The sequence below is a fragment of the Homo sapiens genome, chromosome 11 (assembly GCF_000001405.40).
Source record: "Homo sapiens chromosome 11, GRCh38.p14 Primary Assembly".
NCBI lineage: Eukaryota > Metazoa > Chordata > Mammalia > Primates > Hominidae > Homo > Homo sapiens.
Genome location: NC_000011.10, coordinates 36,572,801 through 36,587,607, shown reverse-complemented (window position 1 = coordinate 36,587,607; position 14,807 = coordinate 36,572,801). Strand labels below are relative to the sequence as shown.

Below are 14,807 nucleotides of genomic sequence, written 5' to 3'. Positions count from 1 at the left end.
AATGTTTTTTATTATTTTTATGTCAAGTACTTAATATAATGCCTGGTATACCTTAGGCAAAGTGTTGTTAAGCTGAATTGAATTAAATACATTACTGAGTTGCATCTGCCTTTTATTGTGAGTAACCAAAGTGACGTATCCTTTATCTAGCAGAACACTAATTATACTTTGTTACATTTGTTATAATTACTTATAACTTCTCTTTTCCTCTTCTTATCTCTTAATTCCATCATGACAGATATCTTAATTGTTTATTATTATTGAATCTCCAGTATCCAGCAGAGTGCCTAGTGCTAAATATACATGTGTTTATATAGATATTGCATAGATATGTACACACACACACACACACACACACACACATATATATATATACACACACAGAGAGAGAGAGAGAGAGAGTAAAAGCTTAAAGCAACTAAAGAAGCAAGGGATATGAGCTTAAATGAAACCAACAAACTTCTGGCTGATGGCAAAGGTAAGAATAGGAAAATATGTATTAGGATAATTAACACTAGCTGCTGTAACAAAAACTCTGAAACACTTCAGTAAGTCGTTTAAAGTTTATTTCTTGCTCATGGAAAATCCAATGCAGGTGTTCTTATCAGGTTATTCACCTGAGTGACTCTCCTCCAAGATTTGTCTCAGGGATCCAGGCTTTTTCTGTTTGGCAACTCTACCATCTTTATCTCCATCATGTGTCCCCCAAGACTTCAGATACAAAAAGAAAAAAAGAAAGAAAGAGAAAGAGAAAATGTGGGGAAGGCACACTCACTTGTAAATGTTTCAGCCTGCAAATGATAAAATCATTTTCTCTGACTTTCATTGGCAAAAGCTAGTCACATGGCCCCACCTAGATGCAAGGAGGCTGGGAAATGTAGTTTAACTATGTGTCTATAAAAGGGAACTGTAAGTGACAAGCATTTAGCCAGCATCTGACACAGTATATATTTTAAACATCCCAACTGCAATAGCCCCATTTACCCTGAAATAGTAATGAATGGTACCAGAATAGCTCTTGTAAGCTAAAACAAAAGTACATGCTGTGTGATATGGTTTGGCTGTGTCTGCACCCAAATCTCATCTTGAATCCCCATGTGTTATGGGAGGAACTGGTGGGAGGTAACTGAATCACAGGAGCAGGTCTTTCCCTTGCTTTTCTCATGATAGTGAATAAGTCTCATGAGATCTGATGGCTCTATAAGGTGGAGCTTCCCTGTACAAGCTCTCTCTTTGCTGCTGCCTTCCATATAAGACAAGAATTGCTCCTCCTTGCCTTTTGCCTTGATTGTGAGGCCTCCCCAGCCTCATGGAACTGTAAGACCATTAAATTCTTTTTCCTGTATAAATTATTCAGTCTCAATTATGTCTTTATCAGCAGTGTCAAAATGGACTAATATACACACTGTGTATATTCATTGCCACTGCTTTTCTTACCTTTTATTACCTTTTGCCTTTACTATTTAAACAATCTCCTAACTGGTCTCCCTGCCTTCACCTTGTCTCCTTCCAATCCTCTAACTGTACTGAGACCACAATGAACATTCAAAAATAAAAATCTGATGTTTCACTGATGAAAACTCTTTCATCAGTGCTTTCCCATCTTCCATGAGAAAAAAAAATCCAAATGTCTCACTAAGGCAAAATATGATTCTGTAGGCCCATCCTTCCCTCTACACACACACTGCTAGTACTCATTCTCTATCAATGCTGGAAATCCTCCACCTGAAAAGTCCTTCTCCCTGGTTAATAACTATCATCTTTCAAGATTTAGTTCTTCTCTGTAAAGCCTTTCGTTTAAAAAGTGTGGAATATTCACCTCTCTATCCAAACCATCTCTTTTTATAGCACCTGTCAACTTATAAACATTTATGTATATGCCTGATCTTCAAATAGAGAAGCTATTTGATAATGGGCTCCTTAAAAGAAAGGAAAGTTTCTTTCTCAGTTGCATGTTCTTAACAGAAGGCATAGCTTCTCATACATTATAGTTGCTCAATGAATATTCATTGAATTGAATTACGTTCACTCTATAGGGACTGAAATTTATTCACTTCTGCAGCTATTGTCTTACTATCTTTCTGATTCTTTAATACATGAAGGAGGAGCTGTGGAAATAAACTATGTGTTCCAAATATCTTGATCAATTAAAATATCTCACAGAACTTGGAAATCAAAAGTACAGCAAAATTCACAGAAGGAGATGAGCTCTTAGGTTATATTTATTCTCCTTTCTGGTGAAAAGAGATCACACAGGATTAAAATAGATATCATGGTAAATTTTAATAGAATAGACAGCCGTTGTAATACACAGTGACAAGAATTCCAAATTACTTACATGCCACAAAACTCCACTCTAGCATAGAATACTGCTTTTTGACTTGGACTTTACCATAGATGATAGCACATTTTTCAAACCTAATTCTGTCAACAAACATCTAACATTGCACACTTACTTCTAAGAAAAGCAATTCTTCATCCTGTCTCCAGATATCAATCCAAAAAAAATGTGTGTATTCACTTAAATCACAATTTGTGAGAATAGAAAAGTTATCAATACCAGTCCTTTTAAGAGGCTGGTTAAGAATAAAAATCCCCTGAATCCATGGCTCAATTCCTCTACCAGTAGGCTCATTCAGGGTATCCATCAGTAAGCATTTATTGAAAATCCAAGATTCACATTAAATATTATGAGAACTGCAAAAGAAATATAAAACATCAGACTCACCTTTAGTGAATCAATACTCTCACTATAGAATGGGGAAAAGGGGCAGGACAAGAGAGTTGTGGACAATAGAATAATAAACTCATAGCAATGGGTGACAAATTTGAAACTGTGTAGTCCAGGCTGTCCGTGCAATAACAGTTCATTTTTTCCTTTAACTTGGGATATACTGGGAAAATTAAGAAATTGGGCTAAAGTATTTCTAAGTTACCTGTGTTTTCTTTTGCCCTGCTGAAGAGATGTTGTGACCAAGATAACTGGAAATGTAGAAAAGACTATTTGAAATGCTATGCAAAATGTATAGTGATAACGCAAAAGAGGTAGGGTTTGTGTGTGTGCAAAATATGGATAATCATCAACTTTGTATTATGAAAGTGTATTAGTTTCTTGAGGAAAAAGATGAAAAAAATCTATGTGAGATTAGGTATTTATTTAGACCTTGATCAGACCTTAGTATAAAAATAATTTGCAGGTCTTGGCCTCCAAGTAAGTTGGTATGTATTTTGCAATGGCACAAATATGTTGTCATCATCAAAAAGAAGAAAAAGATTATATAAAGGCCAAAAGGGGGAAAAAAGAAAATTTCCAAAGAAACAAGGAAAAAAGCCAGAGAAAGAAACGCTGACTTCATTTTTAAAAATGAGGCTATCAAGGACTGCAGAACCTTCCTTCATCTCCTCCTGCCTTGAGTTGGGCACAGTCATCTAAAGAAGTGAGACATGTGAATTAGGAGGCAGGGTATCATTGAAGAGAAAAAAAATGCTTGAAATTGCTACTCCATCATTTAGATTTATATGCATAACGCTTCTTAAACTTGGATCAATTCCCTCACACTTTATAGCTTCCAAAAGCATTTCACTTGTGCCCCACTGCTGGTGTGGTGTGGATCGACTCATGGCCTGCCTCAAACTCTTCAGTAGTTTTTCCATTTGCACTTCTGGTGGGACTCAAGTCCATTGGGTCCTGCATGATAAAACCTCTGCCTGATTCTCCAGAGCAGCGCCTCCCTCAGGCTGCTCCTGTGCACTTACCTTCCTTCAGGTCCTAAACACTGACAATTGCTCTCTCCTCACAGAGTCTTCCCACAGGCTAAGTTTACTCCAGGTCTCTCACTCCATCCAGGTAACCTACCTGACCTCACCCACTCATTCTCCCAGTCTCCACTGAAAAGTTCCTTCTTCCTAGATGCTTTCTCTGATACCGCAGGTTAAATTCTATTGTCCTATCATACTTCATAATGCACCTATTGTGCTCTGATCACATTTAGTGTTTTTCCTTCATAACACCTACTAGTGTGCGGCTATGCATTTAGAGTCTTATTGTTGATTTGAAGTCTATCCCTCCCTAGCTGTTTATGAGCAGAAACTGTCTATGTTCTTCACCACTGTATCTCCTGTGCCAAGCCCACATTGCCCATAGAAGGCATCTTACAAATATGTATTTAATATATAGGCTGAAGTAACTAGAAAGGGTGAGAAGGATGCAGACCTTACCTGGGTCTTAAAAGGTAAAAAGGTGCTACATTCTGAAAGGTAGAGATAGCACTCAAATATTCAAATATTTAAAAACCCAGGTCCAGAGGCCTCCGGCAGTGCTGCAAGTTACTTGCTGGATTGTGGAGTGATCCACAGTTCCTGAAAGATGGAGAAGGGCTGCGAGAGTAGCATAAGGGCACTTGGGTCTTGGGCCACAGGGCTATTTACCTACAAATACAAACATGTTTCAATATTTTTTAAAAAATGGTATAGCTGTGGAGAGACAGCCAGACTGAATCTCAGCCCTGACTGGAAGGGAGCTGGGAAGCCTGCAGCTAAGGTGGGTCTATGGTACTTAAAAATGTGTGGATGTGGCTCTGCCATTTTCTAGCTGAGATAAGCTTCAGTTATTTCAAGTGTAACATGGAGATAATAGGAGTATCCACCTCAAAAGGATCAAATAAGAAAATGTATGCAAAGTGGTTAGCAAAAAAATGTTTGGAAAATGGTAGCTATTATTACTATTATTTATTACTATTATTAAAAGCACTGACTAAAAGCACTTGGACTGTAGCCAGTTCTGCCATTTTCTGAGTGACCCTGGAAAAGTCAACAACTCTGACCAAAATTTTGAGTGTATAAGTGATATTGTTCGGATGTTTGTTCCTCCAAATCTCACTTTGAAATGTAATCCCCAGTGTTGGAAGTGGAACCTGGTGAAAGGTGATTGGATCACAGGGACAGATCCCTCACGAATGGCTTGGTGCTGTCCTCATGATAATGAGCAAGTTCTTGCTCTAAAAGTTCATGCAAGATCTGGTTGTTCAAAGTGTGGAGCACCTTACTCCCACCCCTTGCTCCCACTTTCAGTATGTGACACCAGTGTCATGCTTTCTTTACAACCTGTAGAACTGTGAGCCAAATAAACCTCTTTTCTGTATAAATTATCAAGTCTCAGATATTTCTTTATAGCAATACAAGAATGGTCACATACAGAAAATTGGTACCAAGCGGTGGGACATTGCTGTAAAGATACCCAAAAATGTGGAAGTGGCTTTGGAACTGGGTAACAGGCAGAGGTGAAAATGGAAGAGCCTGGAGGGCTCAGAAGAAGACAGTAAAATGAGGAAAAGTTTGTAACTTATTAGAGACTGGTTAAATGGTTATGATCAAAATGCTGATAGAGATATGGACAGTGAAGGCCAGGGCTAATGAGGTCTCAGATGGAAATGAGGAAGTTACTAGGAACTGGAGTAAAGGTCACCTGTGTTATTCCTTAGCAAAGAGCTTGGCTGCATTGTGTCCACATCCTGGGGATCTGTGAAGGTTGAACTTAAGAGTGATGACTTAGGGTATCTAGTAGAAGAAATTTCTATGCAGCAAAGTATTTAAGATGTAGCCTGACTGCTTATAACAGCCTAAGATCAAATACAGGAGCAAAGGAATGACTTAAATTTGGAATTTATAATTAAAATGATAGCAGAATGTAAAAGTTTGGAAAATTTGCAGCTTGGCTTTGTGATAGAGGAGGAATTCAAGCAGCTACAGAGCAACCACTGGCTAAAGAGATTAGCATGACTAAAAGGGAGCGAAGTGCTACTATCCAAGACAATGGGAAGGTCTTGAAGGCATTTCAGAGATCTTTGAGGCAACCCCTCCCGTCACAGGCCCAGAGGCCTAGGAGGAAAGAATGGTTTCAGGGGCCAGCCCCAGGGCCCTGCTAACTTGCACAGCCTTTGGACACTGCTCTCTGCATTCAGGCCATTCAGCTCCAGCTTTGGCTCAAAGGGCCCCAGATACAGTTCAGGCTGCAGCTCCAGAGGGCACAGCCATAAGCCTTGGCAGCTTCCACATGGTTTTAAGCCTGCAGGTGCTCAGAATGCAGAAGAGAATAAGGCTTGGCAGCTTCACCCTAGATTTCAGAGGATGTATGAGAAAACCTGGGTGCTAAAGCAAAAGCCTACTCTATGGGTGAGCACTTGCAGACAGCCTCTGCTAGGAAAATGCAGAGGGGAAATGTGGGATTGGAGGCCCTATACAAAGTCCCTACCAGGTTATTGCCTAGTGGAGCTGTGGGATGGGACCACCACCCTCTAGCCCCAAGAGTGGTATGGCTACCTGCAACTTGCAACCTCCACAGGGAAAAGCTGCAGTCACTCAACTCCAACCCTTGAGAGCAGCTGTGGGGGCTGCACCTTGCGCAGCCATAGGGGTGGAGCTGCCCAAGGCATTGGAAGTCCACCGCTTGCAGAAACATGCCTTGGATGTGGGACATGGTGTCAACAGACACTATTTTGGAGCTTTAAGGTTTAATGTATGCTCTTCTGGGTTTTCTGTGGTGCCTATTACCCCTTTCTTTTGGCCAATTTCTACCTTTTGGAATGAGAATATCAATCCAGTGCCTGTACCACCATTGCATCTTGGAAGTCAATAATTGCTTTTTATTTTACAGGGTCAGGAAGAAATTTGCCTTGAGTCTCCAATGATGAGACTCTAGACTTAGGACTTCAGGACTTTTAAGTTGATACTTGGAATGAGTAAAGACTTTGGGGGACTGTTGGGAAGGGATGATTGTATTTTGCAATATGAGGGGAACATGAGATTTGGAAGGCCAGGGGCAGAATGCTATGCTTTGGATATTTGTCCTCTCCAATACCCATGTTGAAATGTAACCCCAGTGTTGGAGGTCAGGACTGATGGGAGGTGATTGGATTGTGCGGGCAGATCCCTTATGGATGGCTTGGTACTATTCTCATGATAATGAGCAAGTTCTTGCTCAGCAAGTTTACATGAGATCTGGTCGTGTAAAATTGTGTGGCACCTCCTCATCCATGTTCCCATTCTCGCTGTGTGATGCTCCTGCTTTCCTTTCCCTTTATGCCATGATTGTAGCTTTCTGAGGCCTCACCAGAAGGTGAATTAGATGCTAGTGCCATACTTACTGCAGAACTGTGAACCAATTAAACCTCTTTTCTTTATAAATTACCCAGTCTGATGTATTTATTTATAGTAATGCAAGAATGGCCTAACATAAGCCAGGTGTGGTGGCTCACGCCTGTAATCCCAGCACTTTGGGAGGCTGAGGCGGGTGGATCACGAGGTCAGGAGATTGAGACCATCCTGGCTAACACGGTGAAACCCCATCTCTACTAAAAAATACAAAAAATTAGCCGGGCATGGTGGCGGGCACCTGTAGTCCCAGCTACTCAGGAGGCTGAGGCAGGAGAATGGCCTGAACCCAGGAGGCGGAGTTTGCAATGAGCTGAGATCGCACCACTGCACTCCAGCCTGGGAGACAAAGTGAGACTCCGTCTCAAAAAAGAAGAAAAAAAAAAAAAAAACAAAGAAAAAAGAATGGCCTAATACAATAAGTATGTGAATTTTCTGGAGAATAAGTCTGTATTTTCACCAGTCTCAAAAAAGTTAATAAACAAAAAGATTTACTATTTATCCTATGTATCTGGGGGAAAAAATTGTTTCATCCTACATTAGGATAAATTTTACACATAATCATTATTCTATTGTCCTTTAATCCAAAGACCACCAAATTTATTCTGTATTTCTCTCAAAGTAAAAGACGTTAATTTTTAAATGCTGCACTCAATATTATTATTAATATTTGAATAGAAATTATAATACATACCATTTTCAAATCTTAAACTTTTATTTCAAATATTCAAACATAAAATTGCTGACAATAACCATAATATTAATGAATGGAAATATTAAAATATAAAAAGTATTGAAACTCATATTTCATTTTATTTGAAAACATTTGACATGGAAACACAGGTCCCCTGAATCAAATAAATCCATTGCATCCTGGTACCTGAATTTTCTCTGAAATACAAAAAAAAAAAAGGCTCTTGGAAGCCATTAAACAAAATGTAAGGTTATTTGTAAGAAAATAAACTGAAGTGCAATTCTACAAAACAAAAAATAATCACCAAAAATGATTTCTGAGGTATATTTATGTAGATTACTGTAGTTAAAATAAGAAAATGTAAAATGGGTACAATGTATCTACTCTTACTTAAAATCTTTTAACATCAAAAGAATACATCATCTGTCATACAATCACTGAAGACACACACATATTTGCAATCAAAAACCACCTGCATCCAAATAATGGTTTATTCCTCCCAACTACCACTGGCGCTTATATATCCTGCCTCTTATCTGTGTGGAATTTGAACTCTGTTTGATGTAATGCAAGACCCACACTCTCAACCAAAAAAATCTTTATCTTCTTCTGTATCTTGTGGGAAAAAAATCTGAGGCAAAACTAAATTCCAGTTCACCTGGAAGAAAAAGACATCTTTTTCTCCTCCTCTTGCTTCTCAGTGCATGTTTATTAATCCCAAGGCTCCTTTTGACCTCACTGACCAATCATCAATTTTCATCAGCCATTATCACTGGTCCCTGCAATGCACCTGAGTGGCTTGGCAGGAAAACTTGTAGATTCAGGTTTCACAGGAGAAAAATACATTGCACTTCTGAAGTCCCAGTATATACTTCACACATACACACACAAATGCTCGATTCAGTGTGGTGAATTTCCCTGGAGTATATAATTGCACTTGCAATAGGCATTGCTAAAAATAAAACTCTAGTATAAAACTAGGGTCTAGGATATTGCAGTCTCAACAGTAAGGGCAAAAAACCATAGGCAGCGTTTCTACATATTGAAATTCCTGCAGCCAGATGTTCCCAGGGTTTATCAAAATGTGATCTGATTAAGGGATTATTGGAAAGGTTGTGCTATAAATCATGCTCTTAGTCACATGCATTCAAAATAGTTCCTACAGTGTTAGAAAAGGATAATTTAATACTGGAAAGTATTTACAGTGCCACCAATAGAGAAAAAGAGTAGAAATGGGTAAAAAATCTATAAACCAGCATGACCATGCTTCAGTAAATAGGATGATTATGTGAATTTAGCTGTTTATTAGTGCAGAGACATGCTGGAAGGATTAAGCAGGATGAAGGGAAAGTGTGGCTTAGTGGCCCACTCATTTCCAAAAAAACAAAACCAAGAGTTTTCAAAAAAACTAATGTTAAAATATGTATATGTTTTTGACAACTAAATTAGAAATGACTTTGATATTCTGCATATAAAAAGCAAGGAAAACTGCTGTGTTTTTTAATGAAAGATACTGAGTTCAATCCCTGAAGAAGCACCAAATACATACAATTAAAGATAATGTCGCCGATGCACTTTTGACAACTAAATTATCAAGCTCTTTGATATACTGTGTATGAAGAGTAGCAATTATGGCCAATAAAATCAAAGGAAGAAAAAACTAATTAACACTAACATATCATTATGACTCACTAGCATATAAAATTCCATGCCTGCTCTACATTGCCAGCAACTGGCAAATCCCAGATTCCTAAGGATGCAGATCATAGTTTCCAAATAACTGGAGCCACAAGAGGGTTAGGGGGCCCTTTGGAGCTTTTGTGTTGCTTTCTTCTATCAAAAGAGCCAGAGCACACAAATGATTTAAAAACTTGCTTACCCCTGCCCCATAAAAATGTAATCCCAAGGTCATGTGCTATAGTGATTAGTTGTGAATCCTAAAAAAATTCTGATACTACCTTATAAACATAGTGATTAATTTGTGGTGGAAAGAAGAAGGGCTTTGGAGACAAAAGGACTGTGTTAAATTTCCAAGCCAAGTATTTATTACCCCTAAATGACTTTGAGCAAATCATTTAAACCCCCATCAAATGGAGATAATAACAACACCTACTCCTCAGAATTGTTGTAAGGAAAAATGAGTGTGAAAACATTCCACAGTGGTAAAAAGCACTGTGTAAATGTTAACTCTTCTGCTGTACTGCGTTTGGACTCCATCTAAACTTAGCGGATGGAAAAATACAAGGTTATCCTGCTACACAATTCTGAATCCACTGAAAGTAAACTGATCATTATAGAAAGAATAACACATTGCAGAGGAGAGGACTCTATGAAACCTAGATTTAGAAAAATTGATTCAGGTTTCATTTGGAGAAAGTCTGGCAAAATGTTTCAGTAAGACATGAAATATATTTTTAGACATCAAGCTAACCTATATTTTTACAAGCCTCTGTGGCTTTAAGACTGTATGCAGAAGCTCTAAATTTGGAAACTCTAAATTTCTTGAAATGAAAAAGTAAAAATAAAGAATCATACTTGGCTTCTGATAGCTAAGTAAACATATATTATCAGAAGATTTAATAACTAACTGTAGCTAACAGGTGTATTCTAAATTCATTATTGAAAAATCCATGACAGCAGATGACCTCCTAAACTCTGAAGGTTACAATAGATACATAATTTAAACATAAAAAAGGACTGATTTTCTCAAAGTTGTCCTGATGTAACATATTTATATAACGAATGGGTAAATGCATTGAGAGCACTTTGTAAAGGTCATCATGCTGTACAAATGTAAGATATTATTAGAAAAATTTAAAAAGCTCTTTTGAATCTTATATAGCAAGCCAAGATATGTAAAATTATAAAAATGAAGAATTATTCAAAAATGAAATAGAAGGCACTTATCATATCTCAATACAAAATATAATCAATCAAGGGGGAAAAAAATGAAAACCACAAGACCAATTTCTTTCCTGGCCTCACTGGCTGTTCTTTGACAACCTTGGCTTTGATTTACATGACAGCTCCCCAACACACACAGATCTTTGCTCATCTCTGGTCCCCTGCAGTTACTCCTGTTCTGAGTTACTGAGCTTTCAGATAACTGATTTTTCCTGTTGCTTTTCGGAACTCACTAAAAGCCTCAAGCAATCAGCTCATCAGTTTCTATTCCTGACTTGAGAGCATCTGTAGCATCTTACTCCAACCTACCACCTCTTGGATGGTGAAGCCCCATACACAGCAGTAAAGGGTGCTAGGAGAAGCCCTCAATGCAACCCAGAGGGAAACTCAATTGCAAAAACCAACTCATAAGTGGTTGCCCTACTTAAAATTCCATTGAATCTTGGCTTTCCAGAGAGTCCTCTATGCCTAATGGGTCCCCTAAGCTTGCCTGAGGGTTCATGGTAAACCCAGAGGTTTTTAATGCATTATGAGCATTCATAAACTTCTGGAGGTATTTGGAGGTGTACAACCAGTGGTGTTTCAGGACATCTTCCATCTCATAGCATTTGGACTGCCTGGCATTCATTTTCCGGAAGCGCCTAAACAGTTTGTTACCAGACTCATTTCCCTCACTTGCCCATGCCCCAATGGAGCCATCCCTCTCAATAATTTCAGGAACATGGGCCAGGGTTTTGTGAAAATAATTGGTGATTTTTCCCTCATACCTATACTTGAACTTCGTAGAAAGGAGCTCAGCAAAACGCTGTGAATTGAAACTGTACTGGCAGAGGGATTCTGGGCACTCTTTAGCAGGGCATGATGATCGCCATACTGGTTTCATCTTCAGGTAAAGATCCATCAGCTCCCTCAGAGCCTCGTGCCTCTCCTCGGAAGGAATTAACTCACAAACTGCATCCACAGTCTCTTTGGTCATGAGCTTCCTGGCAAAGTTGCCATTCATCCTCATGATTGGTTTGAGGTTCATCTTCTTCCGGAGATGCTTGTCCAGTGTGGCCTGCCACCTTTTCCTTTCCTCTTTGGAAGCATTGGGATTCTTATACACTTCCCCTATCTCTAGCTGGAAGATCTTGTAGAACTCAGCTGCATTGCCAATGTCACAGTGGAGTGCATCTATGGAAGGGACTGTCTCAATGAAAGGTTTAGCTGAGACCCCTTTCACCCGATCCCGCAGTTCTTCCACAGACTCATGGTAAGGGTTGGAACGCCAGACCTCATAACGTTCCAGGTTCTCAGCATGGCTTCTGGTTATAGAGTGGAAGACAAGATTTTGAGAGGCTTCCAGACGGGTGGCATCACAAAGAGTACAAATGTAGACTGAGCCAGAAGCCTCGAGGCCTTCCACTTCCCGCACAAGTTTTTCATCATAGCCGGTGCCCCTGAAGATGAACTTGAAAGTCCGGAGAATGCCTCCCAGCTCAAGCATTAATTCACTGCTCTTCATGGCCTCCCTCTCAGCAATGAGAGGACTCAGGATGGCAGTCAGCGTCTCGTGGTCAGACTCATCTGCCAGCATAAGGCACAATGGCTTGCAACACAGTTCAGAGTTAGGTTTGGCTTCTTCAAATACTTTCACATTCTGAGAGCTGTGGGCAATAGTAATTTTCATGATTGTGAATGAAAAACGGACTGCCTTTTCTGGAACTACAGGCCCACTCCCATGCTTCTCACTCACGTCTCCCATTCCATCACAAGACTCCTTCACCACCACAGTGAAGGGGCCATTCAGGTAATCATCAAGGTCTTGGGATCTCATGCCTTCCAAGATGTCTTCTTCCATGTCCATCAAAGCAGACACCAAAGCTGAATCATAGCGGAACCTCTTTGCAATGGTGTCCACTGGGTAATCATCCACAGAGGATGATAGTCCAGACAGCCCATCAATAATGCCAACATCAGTGCTGGAAGACACATTCTTCAGAGGTGGCTGCCACTCAAAGTGGTGGTAGCCTGGCAGAAGTACCTTCTCAGCATTCCGAAGGGCATGCAAAGGCTGAAAAATCTGTCTCCCTGTGATGGCTTTCACAGTCCTGTACATCTTGTGGTACTGACTGCAGCTGAGGAAGGTGTTGACACGGATGGCCAAGCAAACAGCTGGCTGCAGGCCAGAGCCCTTTCCCTGCATGATGGCCTCCAGCTCATCAGCTTGCCTGTGCTCATTCCTCGCCCTCAGAGCCAGCAGGAACAAGGTCATGCACACGGACTTCACATCTCCACCTTCTTCTTTGTCAGCAAAGGCTTTGACTTGCAGCTTGAGCTCCCTCAGCCGGTGCTTCTGAGCTCTCCGAGTCAGCGACAGAAGATGTTGGCGGGGCCGGCCCCCTTTATTAATGTGCACAAAAATCTCTTTTGATTCCTTGTGACTTGAGATGTGGTGATTATATTTTTCCAAACTGACCTCCTCATTGCACTCTTTTGCTGGACATTTCACCATCAGGGAATTCAAGACGCTCAGAAAGGACTTCACTGGACTCTCCAGGTCAGTAGGGAAGCATGGATATCGGCAAGAGGGACAATAGCTGCCCATGACTTTGAGGCATCTGAGAATGCAGACCCGGCAAAAGACATGCTTACAGTTGGTCTCCACAGGGTCAGCCAGAATGTGTTCACAGATCTGGCAGGAGATGGATTTCACAAAGTGCTCTGGGAAGTCCACTGCAAGGAGCTTGGTACTAAGATGTATCTTACTGCAGTTGGCGATCTTCTTCATGACATCCTTGCTGCTGATCCTTGCCTGAGCTCTTCTCTTGTGCTGACGGGCTTGTCTTGCTTGGTCAAGCACAGTTTTGAGTTTTTTGCTGAGCTGCAAGTTTGGCTGAAGACTCTTCCTCTTGAGTCCCCGACGGGCAGTGTTGCAGATGTCACAGGATGGTGTGTGGGGGTGCCACTCCATGGTCACGTTCCTCGGGAAGTAAACCTCACATGGGGCACTGCTAAACTTCCTGTGCATGATGCTCCAGCAGTTATGGCAGAACTCAGTGGGGTGGATCGAGTCAACATCTGCCTTCACATCGATCCGGAAAACCTTGGCAATGAGGTCCGGCCAGGAAGTAGCTCTCTTTTCCTTCTTTCGTAAAAGGCCTAGGGTTTTACCATCCACAGGACCATGGACTGGATATCTCCTGTTGTGCTCATCAGCTCTAAAAGAATTCCCACAGATGCGGCAGAGATGTCGAAGGTTGGCTTGATGGATCGCTTTGCCTCTTGCTTTCTCGTTGTCGTGAAATTTCTTTGAAAACTTAGGGTGGGCTTTTAACAATGGCTGAGTTGGGACTGGCTTCTGACCATCAGCCTTGTCCAGGACTGCTGGAGATTGCTCCAGAGAGGGTTTCCCCTCAAAGGAATCCTTCTTTTCCTTTTGAGCTTCTTCAGGTGTCTTTTCAAAGGATCTCACCCGGAACAGCTTAAATTTCCATTCTGAAAATTTAATATGTGGGTGCTGAATTTCATCTGGGGCAGAACTGAGTCCCAAGGTGGGTGGGAAAGAGGCTGCCATGCTGGCTGAGGTACCTGAGAACAATGAAAACAAGTCATATTAAGACCAATATCAATATCCCACTGATGTATCTTATAAATAATAAAAATAAATACATTCAATTATTTATTCATGTATTCCAAAAGATATGTATTAAATCTTCTACCTTAATATATCATGTTAGGTGCTGATCATAGAGTTATTTCCTCTTCTGACAGTGTTTATGGTTACTTATACCTGTTACACACATATAAGTGCTTAAATATATACATGTAAAGTTTTATTTCCTTCCACAAAAACCTTAAGGTCTTTAAGGACAGAATCTTTGATTCATCTTTGCCTCCCCAAGGGTCCCAGTATACATTAGGTGCTCAATAGTTATTTGTTCAGTAAATGTAAAGATAAACAGGCTACTAAAATCAAAGAAAAGTAATATTTTCCACATTGTATTAGCCTCATTGTACTAGCTGGACAATGTATTTCCAGCTTTTTAAAGCAGTCTTCCAGGGGGTTGGTTGTTTATTT

The 14,807-nt window shown here is 40.3% G+C and overlaps 1 protein-coding gene across 8 annotated transcripts in view, besides 1 other annotated feature; it reads right to left on the bottom strand.

Annotated features, from left to right (window-relative positions):
• Nucleotides 5,525-6,028: an enhancer, noted in NCBI's record as "NANOG hESC enhancer chr11:36603130-36603633 (GRCh37/hg19 assembly coordinates)". NCBI's record gives its function as "activates a minimal SCP1, AML or CMV promoter by ChIP-STARR-seq in naive H9 embryonic stem cells {active_cell/tissue: H9 hESC(naive)}" and the evidence as "EXISTENCE:reporter gene assay evidence [ECO:0000049][PMID:30033119]".
• Nucleotides 7,846-14,807, bottom strand: part of RAG1 (recombination activating 1) — a 69,410-nt gene continuing 62,448 nt past the window's right edge. For all 8 annotated transcript variants that reach the window (NM_001440489.1, NM_001377277.1, NM_001377278.1 and 5 more), the window contains one exon: nucleotides 7,846-14,317. In NM_001440489.1, coding sequence (NP_001427418.1) covers nucleotides 11,172-14,303 — 3,132 coding nt within the window. In that variant the 5' untranslated portion in view covers nucleotides 14,304-14,317 and the 3' untranslated portion in view covers nucleotides 7,846-11,171. The remainder of the gene's footprint in view (nucleotides 14,318-14,807) is intronic.